The sequence below is a fragment of the Homo sapiens genome, chromosome 8, assembly GCF_000001405.40.
Source record: "Homo sapiens chromosome 8, GRCh38.p14 Primary Assembly".
In the NCBI taxonomy this organism is placed as follows: domain Eukaryota; kingdom Metazoa; phylum Chordata; class Mammalia; order Primates; family Hominidae; genus Homo; species Homo sapiens.
The window spans coordinates 39,622,939-39,648,999 of NC_000008.11; the positions used below are offsets into that span (position 1 = coordinate 39,622,939).

At 33.9% G+C, this 26,061-nt stretch overlaps 1 protein-coding gene across 3 annotated transcripts in view; it reads left to right on the plus strand.

The window, feature by feature from the left end:
• Positions 1–26,061, plus strand: part of ADAM18 (ADAM metallopeptidase domain 18) — a 145,498-nt gene that overhangs the window by 38,371 nt on the left and 81,066 nt on the right. Inside the window, exons 7-12 of one of the 3 annotated variants that reach the window (NM_014237.3) lie at positions 6,436–6,501; positions 14,326–14,397; positions 14,599–14,765; positions 15,527–15,608; positions 22,400–22,536; positions 25,406–25,589. In NM_014237.3, the coding sequence (NP_055052.1) occupies positions 6,436–6,501; positions 14,326–14,397; positions 14,599–14,765; positions 15,527–15,608; positions 22,400–22,536; positions 25,406–25,589 (708 nt within the window). The remainder of the gene's footprint in view (positions 1–6,435; positions 6,502–14,325; positions 14,398–14,598; positions 14,766–15,526; positions 15,609–22,399; positions 22,537–25,405; positions 25,590–26,061) is intronic. The other 2 variants (NR_135201.2, NM_001320313.2) reach the window with 2 other exon arrangements.

Consider the following 26,061-nt stretch of genomic DNA (forward strand, 5'->3'; position numbering starts at 1 on the left):
TAGTGGTGATGTCTGAGATTTACTCCACCCATCACTTGAGTAGTGTTCATTGTACCCAATATGTGGCTTTTAATCCCTCACTCCCCCTCTCACCTTCCCCATTTCTGAATCTCCAATTTCCATGATACCACTCTGTATGTCTTTGCATACCACTTAAAAGTGAGAACATATAGTATCTGTTTTTCCATTCCTGAGTTACTTCACTTAGAATAATGGCCTCCTCCATTCAAGTTGCTGCAAAAGACATTATTTCATTCTTTTTTATGGCTGAGTAGCATTCCATGGTGTATACATTATCCACTCACTGATTGATGTTCACTTAGGTTGGTTCCATATCTTTGAAATAATGAATTGTGCTGGAGTAAACATATGTGTGCAGAATTCTTTTTGATATAATAATTTCTTTTTTGGGGGATAATCAACAGTGGGTTTGGTAGATCTACTTTTACTTCTTTGAGAAATCCCCATACTGCTTTTCCATAGTAGTTGTACTAATTTAGATTCCCACCGGCAGTATGTACATATACTCCTGAGCTTGAAATAAGTTCCCTTTTCACCACATGCACACATTTTTTTTTTTTTTAGTTTTTTAATAATGACCATTCTGGCTGGGATAAAGTGGTATCTCATTATAATTTTTTGTTTGTTTTTTTGTTTTTGTTTTTGTTTTTGTTTTGAGACGGAGTCTCGCTCTGTCGCCCAGGCTGGAGTGCAGTGGGGTGATCTCGGCTCACTGCAAGCTTCGCCTCCCGGGTTCACGCCACTCCCTTCCCTCAGCCTCCCGAGTAGCTGGGACTACAGACACCTGCCACCATGCCCGGCTAATTTTTTGTATTTTTAGTAGAGAAGCGGTTTCACAGTGTTAGCCAGGATGGTGTTGATCTCCTGACCTCGTGATCCACCTGCCTTGGCCTCCCAAAGTGCTGGGATTATCATTATAGTTTTAATTTGCATTTCCGTGTTGATTAGTGATGTTTAGCATTTTTCATGTTTGTTGGCCATTTGTATATCTTCTTTTGAGAAAGGCCTATTTGTGTAATTTGCCTACTTTATGGTGGGATTATTTGTTTTTATCTTGCTGATTTGTTTGAGTTCCTTGTATATTTTGGATATTAGTCCTTTGTCAGATGCATGGTTTACAAATATTTTCTCCCCTTCTTTAGGTTGTCTGTTTGTTCTGATGATTACTTCTTTTTCTGTGCAGAAGCTTTTTAGTTTAATGATGTCCCATTTATTTATCTTTGTTGCATTTGCTTTTGGGGTCTTAGTCATAATTTCTTTGCCTAGGGCAATGTCCAGAAGAGTTTTTCCTAAGCTTTCTTCTAGAATTTTTATGGTTTCAGGTGTTAAATTTAAGTCTTTGATCCATCTTGAGTTGATTTTTGTATATGGTGAGAGAGATAGGGATGCAGTTTCCTTCTTCCACATGTGGCTATCCAGTATTCCCAGCGTCATTCATTGAATAGAGGGTCCTTCCCCCAATTTATGTTTTTGTGTGCTTTGCTGAAGATCAGTTGGTGGTATTTGGCTTTATTTCTGGGTTCTCTAGTATATTCCATTGGTCTATGTATCTACTTTTATACCAGTACAATGCTATTTTGGTTAGTAAAGTTTGTAGTGTGGTTTGAAGTCAGGTCATGTAGCGTCTCCAGATATGTTATTTTGCTTAAGAATGCTGATATGTTTCTGTATCCTCCCAAATCTCATGTGAAATTGTAATCCTCAGTGTTGGAGGTGGGGCCTCGTGGAAGGTGATTAGATCACGGAGGTGGTTTCTCATGGCTTAACACCATCCTCCTAGTGCTGTTCTCGTGGTAGAGTTCTCAGGAGATCTGGTTGTTTAAAAGTGTGTAGCACCTCCCCTGCTCTCTCTTTCTCCTGCTCCGTCCATGTAAGACATGCCTGCTTTTCCTTTGCCTTCCACCATGATTGAAAGTTTTCTGAGGTTTCCCAGAAGCTGTCATGCTTCCTGTACAGCCTGTGGAACCGTAAGCCAATTAAATCTCTTCTTTATAAATCATCCAGTCTCAGGTATTCTTTTATAGCAGTGCAAGAATGGACTAATAAAATTGCTTTGGCTATTCAGGCTCTTCTTTGGTTCCATGTGAATTTTAGGATTACTTTTTTCTAATTCTGTGAAAACTGATCTTGGTATTTTGATAGGAATTGCTTGAATATGTAGATTGCTTTCGGCAGTATGGTAATTTTCACAATGTTGATTCTTCCATCCATGAGCATGGGATGAATTTCCAGTTTTTTCTGCTATCTAGGATTTAGTGTTCTGTAGTTTTTCTTGTAAAGAGCTTTCACCTCCTTGGGTAGGTATATTCTTAATTATTTTATTTTATTTTTGCAGCTGTTGTAACAGGGATTGAGATCTCGATTTGATTCTCAGCTTGGTCATTGTTGGTGTATAGCCATGCTACTAATTTGTGTACATTGATTTTGTAACCTGAGACTTTACATAATTCACTGGTCAAATGTAGGAGTCTTCTAGAGGAGCCTTTTAGGGTTTTTTAGGTATATGATTATAACATTGGTAGACAGAGTTAGCTTGACTTTCTATTTTCCAATTTGGATTTCCTTTATTTATGTCTTTTGCCTGATTGCTGTGGCTAGGACTTCCAGCACTATGTTGAATAGAAGTAGTGAAAGTATCCTTCTTTGTCTTTTTCCAGTTCTTGGGGAATGCTTTCAGCTTTTTACCCATTCAGTATGATGCTCTCTGTGGGTTTGTCATATATAGCTTTTATTATTTTCAGGTATGTTCCTTCTGTGCCTAGTTTGTTGAATTTTTTTATTATAAAGAGATGCTGGATTTTATTGCTTTTTTCAGCATCTGTAGAGATTATTATTTTCAATTTTTTATGTGGTGAATCACATTTATGGATATGCATATAGTGATCCATCCCTCCTGCATCCCTGAGGTGAAACCTTCTGATCATGGGTGAATTATCTTTTTGATGTGTTATTGGATTCTATTTGCTAGTATTTTGCTGAGGATTTTTGCGTCTGTGCTCTCAATACTTTGCAATAGTTTCAGCAGCATTGGTATCAATTGTTGTTTGAATATCTGGTAGAATTTGGTTGTGAATTCCTGTGGCCTTGGGTTTTCTTTGGCAGTTTTTTAAAATTAGTGACTCAATCTCACTGATGGATATTGGTCTAGTCAGGATTTCTATTTCATCTTGATTCAAGCTAGTAGGGTTGTGTGTTTCCAGGAATTTATCCATTTCTTCCAGATTTTCTAGTTTGTGTGCATAGAAGTGTTCATAGTAGTCTTGGATGATCTTTTATATTTCTGTGATGTCAGGTGTAATATTTTCATTTTTATTTCTAAAACTTCTTTTAATCTTGTCTCTTCTTGGCTAATGGAACTAATGGTCTATTAGTTTTGTTAATCTTTTCAAAGAACCAAGTTTTCATTTCATTGATCATTTTAATATTTTTGTTTCAATTTCATTTAAACCTGCTCCGATCTTTGTTGTTTCTTTCCTTCTGCTTGCTTTGGGTTTGGTTTGTTCTTATTTCTCTAGTTCGTTGAGGTTGAGATTTAAATTGTCAATTTGTGGTCTTTCAGTCTTTTTGATGTAGGCATTTGGTGCTATAAACTTTCCTCTCAGCGCTGCATTTGCTGTATCCCAGAGGTTTTGATAATTTGTATTACTATTATCATTCATTTTGAAGAATTTTTAAATTTTCATCTTGAGTTTATTGTTAACCCCAAAATCATTCAGGATCAGATTGTTTAAAATTCTTGTATTTCTATAGTTTTGAGGGTTCCTTTTGGAGTTGATTTTTAGTTTTACTCCACTGTGTCTGAGAAGATACTTGATATAATTTTGATTTTTAAAAAATTTATTGAGACTTATTTTGTGGCCTATCATATTATCTGTCTTGGAGAATGTTCTATGTGTTGATGAGAAGAATATAGTTCTTGGGTAGAATAGTTTGTAAATATGTGTTAGGTCCATTTGTTCTAGAGTATGGTTTAAGTCCTATGTTTCTTTGTTGACTTTCTGCCTTGAAATCTGTCTAGTGCTGTCAGGGGAGCGTTGAAGTCATCCACTATTATTGTGTTGCTGTCTATCTCTTTTCATAGGACTAGTAGTCATTGTTTTATGAATGTGGGAGCACCAAAGTTAGATTATATATATATGCATATATATTTAGGATTATAATATCTTCTTGTTGGATTGATCCTTTTGTTCTCACACTGCTGATAAAGACATACCCGAGACTGGGTAATTTGTAAAGTAAAAAGGTTTAATGGATTCACAGCTCCACATGGCTGGGGAGACCTCACAATCATGGCAGAAGATGAAGGAAGAGCAAAGGGACATCTTACATGTCAGCAGGCAAGAGAGCTTGGGCAAGGGAACTCCCGCAGAAGATCTCATGAGATTTATTCACTTCAATGAGAACAGTATGGGGGAAACTGCCCCCATGATTCAATTATCTCCACCTGACCCCACCTTTGACAGATGGGGATTATTACCATATTTAGGTGGGGACACAGTCAAACCATATCAACATCCTTTTGTCTTTTAAAACTGTTTTTGCTTAAAAGTCTATTTTATCTAAGAATAGCACCTCCTGCTTGCCTTTAGTTTCTATTTGTCTGGAATGTCTTTTCCACCCCTTTGCCTTGAATCTATAAGAATCTTTACATGTTAGGTGAGTCTCTAGAAGACAGCAGATGTTTGGTTTGTGATTTTTTTTTATCCATTCTGCAAATCTGTGTCTTCTAAGTGGTGTATTTAGACCATTTATATTCAACATTAATATTGAGATGTGAGATACTGTTCCAGTCATGCTGATTGTCACAAAGATACTTTGTATTCTTCATTGTGTTACTGTTTTATAGGTCCTATGCATTGTATGCTTTCAAGAGGTCCTATTCTGGTGTATATTGACATTTTGTTTTAAGATGTACAACTCCTTTTAGCATTTCTTCTAGGGCTGATCTAGTAGTAACAAATTCCCTTAGCATTTGGTTGTCTGAAAAAGACTTTACTTATCCTTCATTTATAAAACTTAGTTTTGCTGGCTATGAAATTCTTGGCAGAGTTATTCTTTATAAAGAGACTAAAGATGAATGTCAACACTTCTTGTTTGCAAGGTTTCTGCTGAGAAAGTTAAACTTTTTAGTCATTAAATATCAATTTTAATAATTATATAATTTTGATTATTTTAGTGCCCCCTTTTCTCACTCAACATTATTTCAGTTTGAGCAATAAGTTGTATGGTCATGCAATAGTATGATCACAAAAAACACACCAATAATGAAAGTTTAAAAGACCAAACTCACATATTTTAGAATATTGAAAAAAAATGAGAGTCCCCTTTTTTACAAAATTGCAGTATACATGTATACACAAAGAGAGGATATATAGATGGATAGATAAATAAACATGTATGTCTTGATAGATGATAGACTGATAGATTTAGATGATGAATTGATAGACTGATAGATCAATAGATAGATAGATAGATAGATAGATAGATAGATAGATAGATAAACAACAATAGATATATGAGATGAGGCATACTTTACTTTCCCATGGAAATATAAACCAACCTATTTAAACAGAGACTCTATCCAGTAAGTTTGGGTTATTTGTTTGCTTGTTTACTTATTTTAACTCAGACTATTCTATTGCAGATTCAACACCCTCTTTACTCTTGTATTTTGTGGCCTGTAAATATGCTTAGATCAAAGAAGAAATTTCTCTGAAGTTTCTATATGTGAGAAGGCACTTCAGCTTGTTAGAAATAAAGCTCATGTAAAATTATCAATAAAGTGTTAAATGAGGATGTAATAATTGATGATTTATAGGTGATAATCATATGAGTACACAGGGAAGAACAGAATGTAAAATATCAGAAATAATTCAATAGGTCCAGAGCATAGGCTTTGTGTGTCATTTGATATAAAGCAATAATTATTGATTGTGCTAACATAATAACCTATAAATCATCAATTATTAATAGACAAATCACAATATTTACCTGAATTTCAGTGGAGACTATGAGTTCTCAAATATTTCCTATATCTTTATGAATGGACAATTTTCAGTATGCCACAGTTAGTGTTGCTATAGTCCTTCATAAGACAGTCAGTGAAAAATGTTCAAAGTGTAGAGTTGTCTGCAGATGAAGACAGCATAAGGTGTATTTTTATGTTTATGTTTTTTTTTTCTCATTCAGCATTAACAGAGACTAGACCCTTACATTACTCTGGCAGGTTCATTGTAAATATTTTAAGCTTGGAATATGTTTTGAAGTAAAATTTTCTACATCAGAATTAATTTTTATACTTAAGTCCTCATGAAAATCTTATATGCAATTTTTCGCTGTCTTTACATGTCATCTTTTTCTCTTAAATTCAATACATGTTAACATTTTATAAATCCCGTTGTTGTTGTTTTCCAGATAAAAAATCTTTCAAAACTATTACCCCAATATCTGGAAATATACATTATAGTGGAAAAAGCTTTGGTAAGTATGCTTTCAAGAGGTCTTTCAAGAAGGAACTAAGTATGCTTTCAAGAAAGAACTTTCCTTCTTGCATTCCTGTCTTCTTCCTTTTCTCTCTTCCTCCTTCTTTCCCTTCCTCCATTGTCTCCTTATTTTCTCCCTCTCCTCTCTTTTCCTCCCCTCCCCTCTGTCTTCCCTTTCCTTCCTCTACCCCTCCTTCACTCACTCCCTTTGTTTTCCTCCCTCCCTCCCTTCTTTCCTTGCTTCCTTCCTTCCTCTTTCTTTCACTCTTTCTTTCTTTTTATAACTTAGTGAAAGTTTTGTTTTAATTTTAAAGACATAATACAATTTTCTTAATATTTTAAAATAAAAGATATTTTATTTTAGGGGTGTTAGATAAATCAACATTTGTGACCTTTTACAACCAATTATGAGTAACAGCCCAAACTAGCCTAGAATGCCCTACACTATCGCTTCCTCCACTCCAGCTCAGTCAGTATCTCTTTGACTTTAACTCCTAATGGGCCATCCTTTCTCTTAATCTGCTCCATCCTTTCTGGTCACATTGTTTTATTGAATGCATATTTTTACCATCTTATAAAGCATATTCACTTGATATTTTCTCTTTTGCAAAGTTTTCAACTAATTCAGTTTGTTGCCTTAATGTCATTTTAAAACCTTTATTGCTAACAAAAATTTCACTTCAATAATAGTAGTGTTTATATTTTTTGTTTATTATTCTTAAAATATGTTTCAGCATAGTTTTTGAATAAATACACTTCTGGTTTTAAATGTATATTTATTTTTAAAATTAGTACTATTATATATTTACTAAATGCAAAACACAGACTAATCACTGGAAATTCTACTTTCAAGAATTCATATTTTAATGGAAAAGACAGATATGCAACCAAATAATTATGAGGCACTACGTACATTATGTATGTGTGTATATAAGTTATATATATACTTATATATCTATATATATACTCACAAAGTAACAGGATAGAATTGAGAAAGATGTAGGAATTGTTAAGGAAAGTCTTCATAGAATAGATTTTTAGATGAATGACTAGCATTTAGCAGATAAATATAATACAATCAGGTAGATCCAAAAGTGTAAATTGTAGATTATACATTCTATAGCATCTAGGTTATTTTGTTAATATAATGTCTTTAAGATTTATTCACATTGTTGCCCATAACAGTAGTTTATTTCTTGTATACTAACGTGAAGAATACCACAATTTGGTGCTATTATGAATAAAATTGTTATCACCAATCTTGCTCATGTCTTTTGGTAGACATAATTTCTTTTGGTATCTGCCTAGGAGTGAAATTGTTATATCATGGGATTGGTATGTTACCTTTGGACAATATTGGTAAACAGTTGAAAAGTTATTATAGTAATTTCGTATTCTATCAGCATTGTATGAAAGGTCCAGGAATTCTGTATCATTACAAACAATTACAATTGATAAACTTTTAAAAATCTTAGCCATTTTAGTGGATATATAGTGATATCATATGGTGGTTTTTAGGTGCATTTAACACATGATTGAGTTTGAGCATATTTTCATACCATTGTTTACTATTTGGATTTTTTGAAGAGTAAATGTATAAGTTTTTACCCATTTTAATAGTTTCCTTACTATTTTGTGGGGATTCCTTATATATTCCAAATATGAGGACTTTTTCAGATAGCTGTATTAAGGCTATTTTCTCGTAGTCTGTGGCTTAATTTTAAACTCATTTAATGATGTCTTTTGATAGACATGCATTCTGAACCACAGTTAATTTAAGTCCAATTTATGTTTTCTTAATTTCCTTTTGTTTTTAAGAAATATTTTCTTATTCCAAGGACATAATTTTACTTTCTTCCATATCATTTTATGTATTTTTCTTTACCTTTTAAAATAAGTTTTATGGTATATTTTTAATTGAGCAATGTGTACGCTGTGAGGCAGGGTTCTCTTTTTTCCATATAGACATCCATTCGCTCCATCTCCACTTACGGAAAATGTCTCTTACTCCATTCAGTTGTGTTAGCAATTTTTAAAAATTATGTAGTATAATTGTGTGTGGCCTATTCCTTAGGTTGCTGTTCACTTCCATTGCCCTATTTCTGTTTTATTGAATCAATAATTCACTGTGTTCATTACTGTAGCTTTATTGTTATATAATTTATTTGGTTTTGTCCTTTTTCTAATCTTAATTATTGCTTTGACTATTCTGGGCCCCTTTTATTTAAATCCATTTTGGAATCACCCTCTAAAATTTTCCAAAAATACTGTAATTTTGATTTTGGAATTACATTGAATGGTTAGCTCACTTTGGAAAGAATTGTGATCTTAACAATATTGAGTCATCCAATCTCTGAATAAGGAGAACCCCCTCACATTCGTCTTTACATTTTTTGTTAATTCCTTTCGTCAGTGTTCTATGGTGTTCTTGAACATCTTTGTTAGTTTTATTGTTATGCATTTGATGATTTTGTGATGCCCTAGTAAATGGTATTCTTAATTTAACATTTAAGTATTTTTGCCCTGGTTTCTGAAAACATAGTTGACACACAATTTATCTTATATCCTGTTATTTTTTGCATAATTTACTTGTTAATTCTTGTGTTTCATTTTTGGTAGATTTTTTAATGTTCTATGTACACAATCATATTATTTATGAATTTTAATTTTTTTAATTTCAAATTTTAATTTTTAATTTTTTTCTTTATCAATTTTTACTCCGTTTTGCATTTATGTATACATGTATTTAGTAATTTACCTATTTATTTTACTTTTATTTCATTTTATTGTTTTATTGTCCTTGCTTGACTCTGCAGTACAATGTTAAATAGACTGATGTGTATATTCCTAAATTTTCCCCTAACTTGCAGATTAACCATTCTTGCTAAGTTTCATGTTAGCTCTTAGTTTTTGGTAGGTGATCTTTATAATATTGGGAAGGCTCCCTTATATTCCCTGTTTTCCAAGATTTTTGTCATGGATAGCTGTTTTTCATCAAATTTTTTTTCTGCTCTTACAGAGATAATCAATGGATATAGAGAACCATACTTGTGTTTCTAAAATACACCCTACTTATCACATTTTAATCAATTTTTACAAGTAACCTGATCTTTTATTTAATATTTTGTTTTTGATTTTAGGATTTATGTTCATGAAATAATGGTATGCTATATTCCTTTCTTATAATGATTTTTCTTCTTGTTATCAAGATTATCCTAGCCTCATCAAATAAGTTAGTGAGTTTTCTTCTTCTTATAGTCTCTTCGAGAATTTAGATATTATGAGTATGACCCCTTCCACATATAGTTGGAAGAATTTACTCTGAAACCCTGTAGACCTTAAGTTTTCTTTGAGGAAATATTTTAAAGTACACATTAAATTTCTTTACATATGATATACATAGGGAAGTTGAGATTTTCTTTAAACTTGTTTTACTTTCTACAAGTTAGATTGCTATGGTTTGAATGTGTCCCCTTCATAATTCATGTATTGAAACATAATGGCCAATGTTATGACTTTAAGGCATGAGGCAATTCTGTCATGAAAGCTCCTTCCCTCATGTATGGGATTAAGTCTCTTATAAAAGAGACTTCATGCAGCATTCTGTAGCTTGCCTTTCTGCTTTCCTCTCCACGAGGACATAGCAAAAAGGTCCTCACCAGACCTGTTTGTGGAGCCTTGATGTGAGACTTCTCAGCCTCTAGGACTATGAACAATAAATTTGTGTTCTTTACAAACTACCCAATCTGTCATATTCTGTCATAGCAGCACAAATGGACCAAGACAGAAATTGGTATCAGGAGTGGGTGTTGCCATTGCAAATGCCTAAAAATGTGGAAATAGTTTTGGTACCTGGCAATGGGTTGAAGCGGGAGCTGTTTTGAAGCAAATAATGGAAAAAGCTTGTATTACTGCAAATGGAGAATGAAGGGTGATTCTGATGAGAGCTCATAAGAAGAGAAGTAGGGAAGTTGTGAATCTTTTTAGAGATTAGTGGTTATGAACAGTTTTTAGAAATTACTTAAGTGGTCATGAACAGAATGCTGGTAGAAATATGGACAGTAAAGGCTGTTCTTATGAGAGCTCAGATGGAAGTGAGGTCCAAGGTATTGGAAATTGGGAGAAAGGCCACTCTTGTTAGAAAGTGGCCAATCACTTGGCTGAATTATGCCCATGCCATAGAACTTTATGGAAGTCAGAACTTAAGAATGATGAACTCAGATATTTGGCAAAAGAAATCTCTAAACAGCAAGGTGTTCAGGATGCTGCATGGCTTTTCCTACTTATTTATAGTAAAATTTGAGACAAGATAAATGGTTTAAATATGGATTTTATAATTAAAATGGAAGAAGAATGTAAAGATTTGAAAAACTCTCAGCCTTGCCCTGTAAAAAAAAAAAAAGGTGGGGGATGGGGGGTTGGGGGAAGTATGTATGGGAGAGAATAGCAAGAGTGTGTCAAGTGACCTTTAAAGAAAATTGTGTGGATAGAGCAAGTCAGCTGCTATTTATCAACACAAGAGCAGAATAACCCCAAAGACATTTTGGAGATCTTCAAGGCTGCCTTCCCATTACAAGCCCAGAGTGCTGGGGATTTGTAAGCAAGACAGGTTAAAGAGAGAAGCCAGAATGCTTATAGGACCTTGAGACTTGCACACCAGGGCCACCTCAGGTCTAAGATCCTTTCATCACAGCCAGGCACTTCTCTGCTGCCCTGGCTTTAGCTCAGCTGGGCCCAGGTACATCTCAGACTGTGGTTTCAAAGGGTGCAGACTGTGAACCTTGGCTGTGTCCACCTGGTGCTAACTCTCCAGGCTCACAGAGTGCAAGAGCTGTGGTGGCATGGCTACTTCCACCTATAAGTCAAAGGATGCCTCAGAGAGACCCCACTAAGGCAATGCCCAGTGGAGACATAGGTGCTGGGCCACCCACAACACCCCAGAACTATAGAGCCACCAGGAAGGAACACCTGGGAAAGCTGCATGCATGCATTTTCGATGTGTGAGAGCTGAAACATGGGCTGCACACAGCAAAGCTATTAGGGTGGTGCCACTCAAAGCCTTTGGGGCTCAAATCCCACCCCAATGTGTCTCATGGGTGGGTCATGGAGTCAAAGAGGATCACTTGCAGGCCTTAAGATTTAATATTGTTTGCTCTGTTGGGTTTTCATTGGCTTGGGACCTGCTATTCCCTTCTTCTTGACTCTTTCTTCTTTCTGAAATGGGAATGTCTGTTCTATGTCTGTCCCACCATTGTATCTTGGAATCATATAACTTGTTCAATTTCATAGACTCACAGCTGGAAATGAATTTGCCCCAGAATAAATCTTGCCTTGAGTCTTACTCATATAATGTTTAGGTGAGATTTTGAAATTAGATTTTAAAGTTGATGATAGAACAAGTTAGGATTTTTTAGGACTATTTGGATGGGATGAAGGTATTTTGTACGTGAGAATGACATGAATTTTGGGAAACTAGGGGTGGAATGTTAGGGTTTGAATATGTTCCTTCCAAAATTCAGGTATTAAAACTTAATGGCCAATGTGATGGTATTAAGGAATGGGACCATTTAGAGGTGATTAGTGCACAAGAACTTCTTCCCTTACAGATGAGATTAAGGCCCTTATAAAAGCACTGTGTAGCTTTCTCTTCTGCCTTCTGCCATGTGAGGATACAGCAAGAAGGCCCTCACCAGACCAGATGCTAGCAACTTGTTCTTGGACTTCTCCACTCCCAGAAATGTGAGGAAATAGATTTCTCTTTTTTATAATACCCAGTCTGTGTTATTCTTTTGTAGCAGGGCAAATGGACTAAGGCATAGGTTTTCAAGTAGATTTTTAAAATGATCTAAATTATCAAATTTCTTAGAATGAATTTGTAACACATTCTTTTATCTTTTAAAAATTGGTATATTTGTAGTATCAGCATTTCTAATGTTCACTAATGATATTGGTGAGATATCCCTCTTTGCTCTTTAGCTGCATTTTATTATTTTAAACTTATTATTTTGAAAGAACTTTAGACTTACATGAAAGTTAAGAAACAGTAAAGATTCTTTTCACAACTTCTCCTAAGTTAACTTCTTATATAATCATAATATAGTAATCAAAACATAAAAGTTAATGTTTCTACATTATTAACAACTATTATAAAATTTTTGACATTTTTCCCACAAGTGTCTTTTTCCTAATTCAGTCCTCAATTATAAGATCCTACATTCCATTGAGTTGACATGTTTCTTTTTTCTACTCCAATCTGTGGCATTACTATGATCTTTGTCTTTCATGTACCTTGGCACAATTGGAGAATACGTGCCAGTTATTTTCTAGAAATGTTTCTCAGTTTGGACTTGCCTGAGTTTTCTCGTGGTTACATTGAGAATCCGTTTTATGTTTGACAAGAATATCCAAAAAAGACCTTTTCTTGTTAAGCTGTTGTTAAAGCAGTGTTGGTTTCATAAAACTAATTACAATGTCTGCCCTTTTCCTACATTCTGAATGATTTTTGTACAAATGCCTTTACTTATTCTTTACTTATTATTTAAATATCTGTAACCATTAAGTTTTTTTGTTTTTTTTTTTTTGAGAGAGAGAGAGAGAGAGGGGGCCTCACTCTCTCATGCAGCCTGGAGTGCAGTGACAAAATCATAGCTCACCGCAATCTCGAACTTCTGGCCTCAACCAATTCTTCTGCCTCATCCTTCCAAGTAGCTGGGACTACAGGCATGCACCACAATGCCTGGATAATTTTTTTAAAATTTTTTAAAGAGATGAAGTCTCACCATGTTGTCCACGCCTCAGTCTCCCAAAGTGTTGGGGTTATAGGCGTGAGTCACTGCACCTGTCCAACAATTAACCCTTATATTTCTTTATTAACCTGATATTTTAATGGGAAGGTTTAAAATTACAGAATCCACTTTAATAGTTATATGATTATATATTCTTTGAACTTTATCTTTGGCCATTTTGGCAAATGCCATTTTAAATAATATTTTCAAGTGTATTAAAATGTAATAAGTTATTGACATCAGTACTTTCATACTTTATTATCATCCTTTGATATTATAATCCTCTTTCATTCCTGATGTTGGCAATTTATATCTTCTCTCTAACCTTTTATTCTTTTTAAAAGTATATATGTTTAAGATGTATACATCATAATGTTTTTATATACATAGTGTTACATTTTAATGGTAAAAGTACCTAAAATCTACTCTTTTAGCTAATTTTCAGTATATAAAACAATATTGTTAATTGTAGTTCTCGCTTTGTACATTAGGTCTCTAGACTTACTTATTCTACATAACCCAAACTTTGTATCCTATGAATGCCGTTTCCACATTTCTCCCCACACTCAGCCCTCTGCCCCTTGACAACCACCTTTTCACTTTGTTTCCATGTATTTGAATATATTTGTTTTGTTTTGTTTAGATACCACATATAAGTGAGATCATGTAGTATTTTCTTTTCTGTATCTGGCTTATTTCACTTAGCATAATGTCCTCCAGATTCATCCATGTTTTCACAAATGACAGGACAACCATATTCAAGGCTTAATAATATTTCCGCATGTGTGTATTTTATATATATATATATATATATATATATATATATATATATATATATATGTATATACATAATATATAATCCATAAAATCTTGTCTCATATAAAATAGTGTAGAATTTGCTCAAATCTGCACACATTCTCCTATGTACTTTAAAACAGCTCTAGATTACTTATAATATCTAATACAATGCCTAAATATCATTTCATTCACATGGATTCAAAATAATACTTTCATGAAAAATAAAATTTCTTTTTCAGTATGATTATATGGGATCTGAAATGATGGCTGTAACACAAAAAATTGTCCAGGTTATTGGGCTTGTCAACACTGTAAGTTTTTACTTTTTCACATTTCCATTTTCATGAAAGTTTCTTTAATATAATTTGGGTTCTATCTTGGCCAATGAATAACTTAAATACTTTTTATTAGTTTAATACTGAAAATACTGGAACATGTTGTTTATTTTTTAATGTACCTTTTAAATGTAATAACTTGTTTCTTTAAAAATGTACAATACATCTTATTTTTAGATGTTTACCCAGTTCAAATTGACTGTTATACTGTCTTCCTTGGAATTGTGGTCAAATGAAAACCAGATTTCCACCAGTGGGGATGCTGATGATATATTACAAAGATTTTTGGCATGGAAACGGGACTATCTCATCCTACGGCCCCATGACATAGCATACTTACTTGTGTAAGCACAATGTTCTACATTAATAAAGATATCTGCATAATTATTTTAAATTGGTAATTTAGTGAATTTATTGCGTTCTTCAGTTTTTTGTAAGCCCCTTTGGAAGTGTTTAAAAATTAGTAGCCTTTGTCATAGAGGTGCTAGTGTACTTAAAAATATAATAAAAGTAACAATAATCAGTTTTGTATTAGAATAGTTTGGAGTGTAAGTATTATTTCAAAAACCTGCATTTCATGAACTTCTGTAATGTTGACTTTGCTACAGAAAACATATAATCCTTAGTTTATGAATGATGTAAAAACGGAGACTATTCAGTTAAAATTATTCATGATAAATTAATACATTTCATGTCTACTTTTTACTAGGAGGGATTTGGGTTTTTTTTAATATTTAATATTTAAAAATGCTTATCTTTAGGACTAGTAAGATTGCTTCTTCCACAAATTAAAAATTATTTTCTCTTTAACTTTTGATAACCAAACTAAGTTGAATTTGAGCTAATAAAATTATATCCATTTTAGGAGATATACAAGGAAATTACATTGGTATTAAAGTGAATTGATTAAAGTCAATGATTTTAGTATTTAGATTTAGTATTTAGTATTTAGTATTTTGTAATGTTTATTAGATATTACCTAGTTTGAAGCTTTATATATTTGCAAAGTCATTTTTAAAATTTTATGTGAAGAAGGTTTAATTTAATACATAAGCTTACAAATTGTTTTGCATAACTACGTTAATAAAAAATTATAATAATGTAGTTACAGGAAACATCCTAAATATGTGGGAGCAACATTTCCTGGCACTGTATGCAATAAAAGCTATGATGCAGGTATTGCTATGGTATGTAATTTTTATTCTTCTTTACATCACTATTTTTAGGCCTTATATTATATTTTGTAAGTATTAATTTAAGTAGTTAAATAGTGTAAAACCATTTGATCTTTTTCTGTATATGTATATTCATTATTATTTTATTGGGACAAAATTAATAGAATCTCAGAAAGTTTATTTATTTATAAAGTTCAAACACAAAGAATATTATGTGAACAAACCTTAGTGTAATCACTCACCAACTGGTCATAATGGACACGAACATTTGCTTTAGATTTTTAAATAAACAAAGCATTAGAGCAATGTTAAAGCCTCCTGCACATTTCCTCCAAGTTCAATAAATAGCAAAAATCATGAATTTGTGCTTGCAATTTTACACATACTTTATGCTATTTTAATAAATATATGAATGCATAAATAATATATATTGTTTTTAGATATTGAAAATTTGTATATTGATAAAACTGTTTCCTGCAAAATTTACAACCCTTAAATCATCTTTCTCAATTAGAAAATTTCTTCTTTGTAACCATATAACTCCATGTTAATTTCTTTTCAAAGAAAAGTTTTGTTGAAGTACAAAATATAGTATATAGATAAAATTCCACAAGTCAAAGTTTATAGCACAATTAATTTTTATCGAGTTTATGCATAGGTATAAACACCACAAAGATCAAAAAATAGAATATTATCAACACTTCAGAAGGTACTTGTGAATCATGCGTCCTCCCACCTATTACCCATACCAAAGGAAACCACTATCCAATTGCCTTTGTTTAATTTTACTTCTTTTTGAAGTTTATGTAAGCAGAACACAGTGTGTATTCTTCCCTGCTCTATTTTGCTCAATATTATGTCTATAGCAATCATTTATGTTCTTATGAGTAGGAATAGTTTGTTCATTCTTTTACCACGTATTTCTTAAAAATACGCCCATGAAGTTTCCTGACTCTTCAAATGTGAGTATTATCTATTGACTTCCTATTATTGAAGTTAGAATGTAACATCTTAATAGTTCATCATATCCATATTTCGACTGCTTCATTCCCCCTCTATAATTATATAACTCATTTGAATTGTGTCTTATTCCCTAATGAGCCAAGTAATGAACTAAGATTTTAATCTTAGTTCAATTGCCTTGATTGTGTGCCTTTTTGTTCTTCCTAAATTTAATAATTGCATTATATTGATTTGCACAACTATTTAATAAAATCATACATTGTTTCTAGTTTTCTCCTTGTTTCAGAAATTCGTCTTTCCTTTCTTGGAGACATTCTGGAGAAATTGTCTGTTTTACCAATCTATATTACACTTGATGCATAGACAGGGTTGGAGAATTTTCAGTCTGGTTTCCTTTGTATTATGTGTATCCCTCTTTCATATTTTGCTCATTTTGGTAGAAATGAGCTCCTATAATTTACTGACAAAGAAAAATGGGAAGTAAATTGTGTGAAAGTTATATGATAGACAAAATTTTAATTTTTTTAATTCCAACTTTTAAATTCAAGGGTACATGTACAGGATGTGCAGGTTTGTTACCTAGTTAAAAGTGTGCCATGCTGTTTAGCTGCACATATCATTCCATCACATAGATATTAAGCCCAACATCCTTTAGCTATTCTTCCTGATCCTCTCCCACCTCCCACTCCTCCAACCTCCAACAGGCTCCAGTGTGTGTTGTTCCCCCATGTGTCCATGTGTTCTCATCATTCAGCTCCCACTTATAAGTGAGAATATGTGGTATTTGACTTTTTGTTCCTGCATTAGTTTGCTGAGGATAATGGCTTCCAGCTCCATCGATGTCCCTGCAAAGGACATAATCTCATTCCTTTTATGGCTGCATAGTATTGCATGATGTATATGTACCACATTTTCTTTATCCAGTCTATCTTGGTGGCCATTTGGGTTGATTCAATGTCTTTGCTATTGTGACTAGTGCTGCAATAAATAAATGTGTGCATGTGTCTTTATTACAGAATGATTTATATTCCTTTGGGTATATAGTTAGTAATGGGATTCATGAGTCAAATGGTATTTCTGCCTCTAAGTCTTTGAGGAATTGCCACACTGTGTTCCACAATGGTTGAAGTAATTTACACTCCCATGAACAGTGTAAAAGCATTCCTTTTTCTTTATAACCTCGCCAGCATCTGTTGTTTATTGACTTTTTAATAATAGCAATTCTGACTGATGTAAGGTGCTATCTCATTGTGGTTTCGATTTACATTTCTCTAATGACCAGTGATGTTGAGCTTTTTTTCATATTTTTGGCCACATATTTTTTTTTTATGAGAAGTGTCTGTTCTTGTCCTTTGTCCACTTTGTAATGGTTTTTTTTTTCTTGTTAATTTGTTTATGTTCCATGTAGATGCTGGATAGTAGACCTTTGTCAGATGGGTAGATTGCAAAAATTTTCTCCCATTCTGTAGGTTGTCTGTTTACTCTGTTGATCATTTATTTTGTTGTGCAAAAGTTCTTTAGTTTAATTAGTCAATTTTTGGTTTTGTTGCAATTGCTTTTGGCATCTTTTTCATGAAATCATTGCCCATGTCTATGTCCCAAATGGTACTGCATAGCTTGTCTTCCAGGGTTTTTCAGTTTGGGGTTTTACATTTAAGTCTTTAATCCATCTTAAGTTTTGTATATGGTGTAAGGAAGGGGTCCAGTTTCATTCTTCTGCTTATGGCTAGCCAGTTCTCCCAGCACCATTTATTAAATAGGCAATCCTTTCCCCACTGCTTGTTTTTGTTCGATCAGACAGTTGTATGTGTGTGGTCTTATTTCTGGGTTCTCTATTTTGTTCTATTGGTTTGTGCGTCTGTTCTTGTACCAATACCATGCTGTTTTGGTTACTGTAGCTTTGTTATATAGTTTGTTGTACAGATTATTTCAACATCCAGGTATTAAGCCTAGTACCCATTAGTTATTCTTTCTGATCCTCTCCCTCCTCCTACCCTCCATCCTCTGATAGGCTTCAGTGTGTGTTGTTCCATGTGTCTAGGTGTCCATGTGTTCTAGGCGTCCATATGTTCTCATCATTCTAGGTGTCCATGTGTTCTCATCATTTAGCTCCCACTTATAAGTGAGAACATGTGGTATTTGGTTTTCTGTTCCTGTGTTAGTTTGCTAAGGATAGTGACCGCTAGCTCCATCCATGTCCCTGCAAAGGACATAATCTCATTCTTTTTTATGGCCACATAGTATTTAGAATGATTTATATTCCTTTGGGTATATACCCAGTAATGAAATTTCTGGGTCTAATAGTATTTCTGTCTTTGGGTCTTTGAGGAAACACCACGCTGTTTTCCACAATGGCTGAACTAATTTACACTCCCACCTGCAGTGTATAAGTGTTCCTCTTTCTCCACAACCTCTCCAGCATCTGTTATTTTTTGACTTTTTAGTAATAGCCACTCTTACTAGTGTGAGATGGTATCTCACTGTGATTTTGATTTGCATTTCTCTAATGATCAGTGATGTTGAGCTTTTTCTCATATGATTGTTGGCCACATGTATTTCTTCTTTTGAAAAATGCCTGTTCGTGTCCTTTGCCCAATTTTTATGGAGTTGTTAGTTTTTGTCTTCTAGTAAATTTCCTTAAGTTCCCTACAGATGCTAGATATTAAACCTTTGTCAGATGCATAGTTGGCAAAAATTTTCTCCCATTCTGTAGATAGTTTACTCTATTGAGAGTTTCCTATGCTGTGCAGAAGCTCTTTAGTTTAATTAGATCCTATTTGTCAATTTTTGGTTTTGTTGCAATTGCTGTGGCATCTTCATAATGAAATCTCTGCCCCTGCCTATGTCCTGAATGGTACTGCCTAGCTTGTCTTCCAGGGATTTTATAGTTTTGAGTTTTACATTTAAGTCTTTAATCCATCTTGAGTTAACTTTTGTGTATGGTATAAGGAAGGGGCCCTGTTTCATTCTTCTGCTTGTGGCTAGTTATCTCAGCATCATTTATTAAATAGAGAATTCTTTCCCCTTTGCTTGTTTTTGTTAGGTTTGTTGAAGGTCAGATAGTTGTAGGCCTGTGGTATTATTTCTGGGATCTCTATTCTGTTCCATTAGTCTAGGTGTCTGTTTTTCTATCAGTACCATGCTGTTTTGGTTACTGTAGCCCTATAGTATAGTTTGAAGTCAGGTAGCAACCATGATGTCTCCAGCTTTGTTTTCTTGTTGTTTTCATTTTTTGTTTGTTTTTTGCTTACAATTGCCTTTCTAGTCAGTCTCTTTTGTGGTTCCATATGAATTTTAAGATACTTTTCTCTAGCTCTGTGAAGAATGTAAATGGTAGTTTAATAGCAGTAGTACTGAATCTATAAACTGCTTTGGGCAGCATGACCATTTTAACAATATTGATTCTTTCTGTCCATGAGCATGGGATGTTTTTCCACTTGTTTTTATCATCTCTGATTTTTTTGAACAGTGGTTTGTGATGCTCCTTGTAGAGATCTTTCACCTCCCTAGTTAGCTGCATCCTAGGTATTTTATTCTTTTTGTCACAATTGTGAATGTGAGTCCCTTTATGACTTGGCTCTTGGCTTGATTATTGTTGGTGTATAGGAATACCAGTGATTTTTGCATATGATTTTGTATTCTAAGACTTTGCTGAAATTGTTTATCAGTTTAAGACGTATTTGGGATGAGATTGTGGGGTTTCTAGAGATAGTATCATGTTATCTGCAAACACAGATAGTTTGACTTCTTCTTTGGATGCCTTCTTTCTCTTGCCTGATTGCCTTGCTAGAACTTTTAATAGTATGTTGAATAGGAGTGGTGAGAGAGGGCATCCTTATCTAGAGCCACTTTTAAGGAGATTTTCCTCCTGTTTACTCTTTTGCACTGTTCTGATGACAACTTTGCTGTAATTCTTACCTTTTCCTCACTATGTAATGTATCTTCCCCATTCCTGGGCACTTTTAAGATATATTACTTTGGGTTTTGATATATTAGGGGGTCTGTATTAGATTTCCAGGGCTGCCATAACAAAATACCGCAAACTGAGCACTTGATCAACAGAAATGTATTACTTCACAGTTCTGGATAAAATAGAGTTCTGAAATCAAAATGAACAGAGTGGTTCCTCTTGAGGGCTGCGAACGACAATCTTTTCTCTGCCTTTGCCCTAGCTTCTGGTGGTTTGCTGGCAATCTTTGGCATTTCTTGGCTTATGGATGCATTACCCCAATATTTGCCTTTCTGTTCACATGAAGTTCTTTCTGTGTCTCTGTCACTTTATCTAAATACCTTCTTTTTATAAGAGTGCCATTTATGCTGGAAGTGCAAGACCATATTTCCCTCTCTGATCTAGTATCAAAAGTCTAGCTTTTGGTTTTTGTATCTTGCCCCAAAACATGATGGTCAGCCTAGATATCATTCCTCATATTCTGCTCTGGCTTTAACTCCTTTCAAATTCTGACACTGTAACTTTTAAGCATATTTATTACAGGATAATAGGAAAGGATACTTATTAGTTTATTTTTTCATATTGCCAATTCTGTGTTTTCAGTCATATACATACAAACATGTACACAATCTTTTTTCTTTTAGTTATGCATTACACAGATTTTCTAGTTATACATTTAAATGATAGAGAAAAATTAGACATGTTCTCAGATTTTTGTTTGTAATGATTAAAGAGCTAAGAAATATATCATTATTTATTTATCAAAGATAAATAATATGAAAAACACTTTGAGTCCACACTGTTAGCAAGCATTTTTTAATATCTTCTCACTTCAAATTTATTTTTTGTTTTGTTTTGGTCTTTGAGACAGGATCTCACTCTGTAGCCCAGGCTGGAGTACAGTGGTGCAATCAGCTCACTGCAACCCCAAACTCCTGGGCTCAAGTCATTCTCCTGCCTTCTCCCAAATAGCTGGGACTGCAAGTGTGCATCATCTTGCTGGCTATTTTTAATTTTTTTTTGTAGAGACGGAGTCTCACTATGTTGCCCAGGCTGGTCTTGAGTTCCTGGCCTCAAGCAGTCCTACTGCCTTGGCTTCTCAAAACGCTGGGATTAGAGGCCTAAGCCACTGCACCTGGCCCAAATTTCTTTACTGTGATTGTGTCTGACTCTCTGGCTTCTGTCCTGTCATTTCTTCACTTTAGTCATTATACACAACTTTTCGGTAGGTCCACATTCCAGCCCCCTATACGTATACATAATGTTGGGTCATTTCCCATACTTTGTATCTCAGCCTAAATATAAATTTCACAAAGAAGATGTTCTAACTACCTTACTTAACTACCTTATTTTATACCCCTCCATAAAATTTTCTATTGGAGTACTTTATTTTCTTAAAAGCATGTGTAACAATCTATTTTTACATAGAAAGTTTATTGCAGATTACTGTTGTCTTTCTCTCTTTCTATAATATAAGCTATAGATGTGAACAAAGTCCTTTTCTTTCATACATGCCACTGTATTCCTACCATCTATCATAATGCCTGACACATGAGTACACTGAATTGATATCTATTCATTGGATGAACTGATTCAATGAGAAAGTGAAATAAACATGTTGTATTGTATCAGAAATACCACCTGTTCAAAGCTATAGAATTTTGGCGTGCAAAATTTAAAACCAGAGACTATCATAGTTTGATTACTTGTTTCATGCTTCTTAATCAATAAATTACGGCAGATAAATAAATGGCATACCAAAATAATTGTTGTGAAGTATGCTTAACATAAGAAGTATTAAAATAGAAAATATGATAGGAGTAAAAATATTTCAAGTTATTACTTTTATTTTCACACATAATAATTTTCTTTTTCATGTCTTTTATTTTAGTATCCAGATGCAATAGGTTTGGAGGGATTTTCGGTTATTATAGCTCAACTGCTTGGCCTTAATGTAGGATTAACATATGATGACATCACTCAGTGTTTCTGTCTGAGAGCTACATGCATCATGAATCATGAAGCAGTGTAAGATGTTTTCTTAATTAATTTCATTTATATTTTTATAAGGTTGTTTCCAAAATGTGATAATGTTTTTAAACTTTTATATTCGGCACCACATCAATGGCTAGAAAGTTACATCATGCTTGTAAAGTTATCACACAAAAATTATGTATACTTAGGGATATATACTATAGATTGATCTATATCTTTGTCTGTGCACACACATACACATCACTGACATCGCATTCATATTCTTTCTTGTCATGCCCAACTTTTAAGCAGAGGTTTCAAAACTTAGTTGCTTTGTAACCATCTTAAACAAAAGTCTTATTTTGTAAACAATATTTTTAATTTTCAGTTGTTGGAAATTATATACTCCAGGTAGAAGATAACTTCTGAGTCCATATCTATTTATACACTAATTTTGTGTGAAGAGATTTTAGTGCTCAGTATTTGTAGCTTTTTGCATGAGAGTGTCTTGCAAAAGTATGGTAATACTTATTCCTATTAAAACAAAGTATTTTAAAATAATAGAGACAATCTGATTAAATAACATTATTCTGTGTAATATTCCTCTTACTTTTTCATATTTGTTCCACAACAAATGGCTGTTAAAATAAGCTAAGGCATTTCTTTTTGCTCTTAAACTTTCAACTCTGAAACTTTAGAAACTATACATTTCTTTCCTTGGAGGCTTAAAGGACTACCCAGAACCTCTGTCATCTCAGATTTTGCTCTTTAAGTATTGCTATCTGAGACGATTGTCTAACATAGTGCTATAGTGCTGTCTAATACATGATTGTCTACCTTGGTGCTATCCAATAGAAATAAAATGTGAGTCACATATGTAATTTTAAATTTTCTAGAAGCAATTAAACATAATGAAAATTAAACATAATTTTATGTTTTAATTAAACATAATTAAAAACAATTAAAACAATTAAAATAATCAGGTGAAATTAATTGTGGTAATATATTTTAATGATATATTTTATGTAACCCAATAGATCCAAAATATTATCACTTTAACAAGTAACCAAAATAAAAATTGTTAATTGGTTATGTTCTATTCTAGTGTGTATGTGTATTTGTGTTGGGTATGGATGGTGAGAGAAAGAACAGAGTCCAGGGTCACACCAATGCTATCAGCCTTTAGCAACTGAAAGAATGGAGTATTCAGCAACTGAGAACAGACATGGTTGTCATAAGTAGTTCAATATCACATACAGTATATTTGAAATGTGTGTTGTGCATCTATTAGACATTTCTCCTAGATATACTAGTGGAAATATACATGTGAACATGTAAATAAAGATCTCCCCGGGACTTATATTTTAGTGTGAAACTTAGGTAATATGAGATGAAATTTTGAAAATAAAAATTAATGAAGCTTATTTTTACATAATGCAAAAGTGCTGTATAGAAAAATATTGAAAGTAGAAGGAGAATGAAGAGGGGGCACAATTTAAGATAGTGTTGTCAAGAAGGATCTCTCTGGAGGGTAACATTTGAGCAGACATCTGACTGAAATGTGAAGGGGTGGCCTGCCCCTCCACACCTGTGGGATATCTCGTCAGGTGGGACGAGAGACTGAGAAAAGAAATAAGACACAGAGACAAAGTATAGAGAAAAACAGTGGGCCCAGGAGACCGGCACTCAGTATACCAAGGACCTGCACCGGCACCGGTCTCTGAGTTCCCTCTGTTTTTATTGATTATTATTTTCATTATCTCAGCAAGAGGAATGCGGTAGGAGAGCAGAGTGATAATAAGGAGAAAGTCAGCAAAAAAAAAAAAAAAAATCTGAGCAAAAGAATCTATGTCATAATTAAGTTCAAGGAGAGGTACTATGCCTGGATGTGCACGTAGGCCAGATTTATGTTTCTCTCCTCCCAAACATCTCAGTGAAGTAAAGAATAACAAGGCAGCATAGCTGCCAACATGTCTCGCCTCCCGCCATAGGGCGGTTTTTCTCCTATCTCAGAATTGAACAAATGTACAATCGGGTTTTATACCGAGACATTCAGTTCCCAGGGGCAGGCAGGAGACAGTGGCCTTCCTCTATCTCAACTGCAAGAGGCTCTTTTACTAATCCACCTCAGCACAGACCATTTACGGGTGTCAGGCTGGGGGACGGTCAGGTCTTTGTCATCCCACGAGGCCATATTTCAGACTATCACATGGGGAGAAACCTTGGACAATACCCGGCTTTCCAGGGCAGAGGTCCCTGTGGCTTTCCGCAGTGCATTGTGCCCCTGGTTTATTGAGTCTAGAGAATGGCGATGACTTTTACCAAGCATACTGCTTGTAAACATTTTGTTAACAAGGCACGTCCTGCACAGCCCTAGATTCCTTAAACCTTGATTCCATACAGCACATGTTTTTGTGAGCTCAAGGTTGGGGCAAAGTGGCTAGGGCAAAGTTACAAATTAACAACATCTCAGCAAAGCAATTGTTTAAGGTACAGGTCAAAATGGAATTTCTTATGTCTTCTCTTTCTACATAGACAGAGTAACAGTCTGATCTCTCTTTCTTTTCCCTACAAAATGAAGGAAGAAAGCTTGAACTATATAACAGAAGAGCACACTATGCAGAGGGAACAATAGATAGATGGTTAGATATAGAGATATGTAAATGCATAGATATAGATACATAGATTTAACCACCATACCTTATTGCATTACCTTGATGAGAAAATAGGTTTTTAATGCAATTTTTTAAGAGAATGTTAAAGATAAGCAATATTAAAATTTAATTATCCTTGGTTGAATCTCTGCTAAAGTATAAATTTTGGGGTGGCCATCTTGTGATTTACATGATTATGTATGGAGTGTTGTTTAGATGTGGTTTTATTAGCCAGGCTTATTTGCCTGAGGAATATTATTTTATTTTAGGAGTGCCAGTGGTAGAAAGATTTTTAGCAACTGCAGCATGCACGACTATAGATATTTTGTTTCAAAATTTGAGACTAAATGCCTTCAGAAGCTTTCAAATTTGCAACCATTACATCAAAATCAACCAGTGTGTGGTAATGGGATTTTGGAATCCAATGAAGAATGTGACTGTGGTAATAAAAATGTGAGTAACAAAGATTGAAACTCGAGCACAATTTTTATGTTTCTGATAAAACATAAGACATGTTTGTCATGGTATATATAAATGATATATGCAACAATGCCATTAATTTATAACTGAAATATGAGAAACAGGATGAGTTAAGATGTATAAATCACGTTCCCACAACTCTTAAACTGAGAAGGCAAGTCTGTCATTAACACTAGGTTTGCATTACTGTTGCCAATCATGCCAGCAGATTGATTTTGAATATATTGGCTAAATGAAGTCCTTTTTATTATACACATCTCAGTTCCTAACTCATTTGGCTTCATTCTCTATTTTCTCTACAAACTTTTACTAAATGTGATCCAAATTTTTCCCTATCTCTTGTTCTTGCAAGAATTGCTAAACATTATAATGAGGTTTTTAAATCCTTCTCAGACATTCCTGCATTTACAAATTTTTGAATGACCAAAATTTGTTTTATTTATTC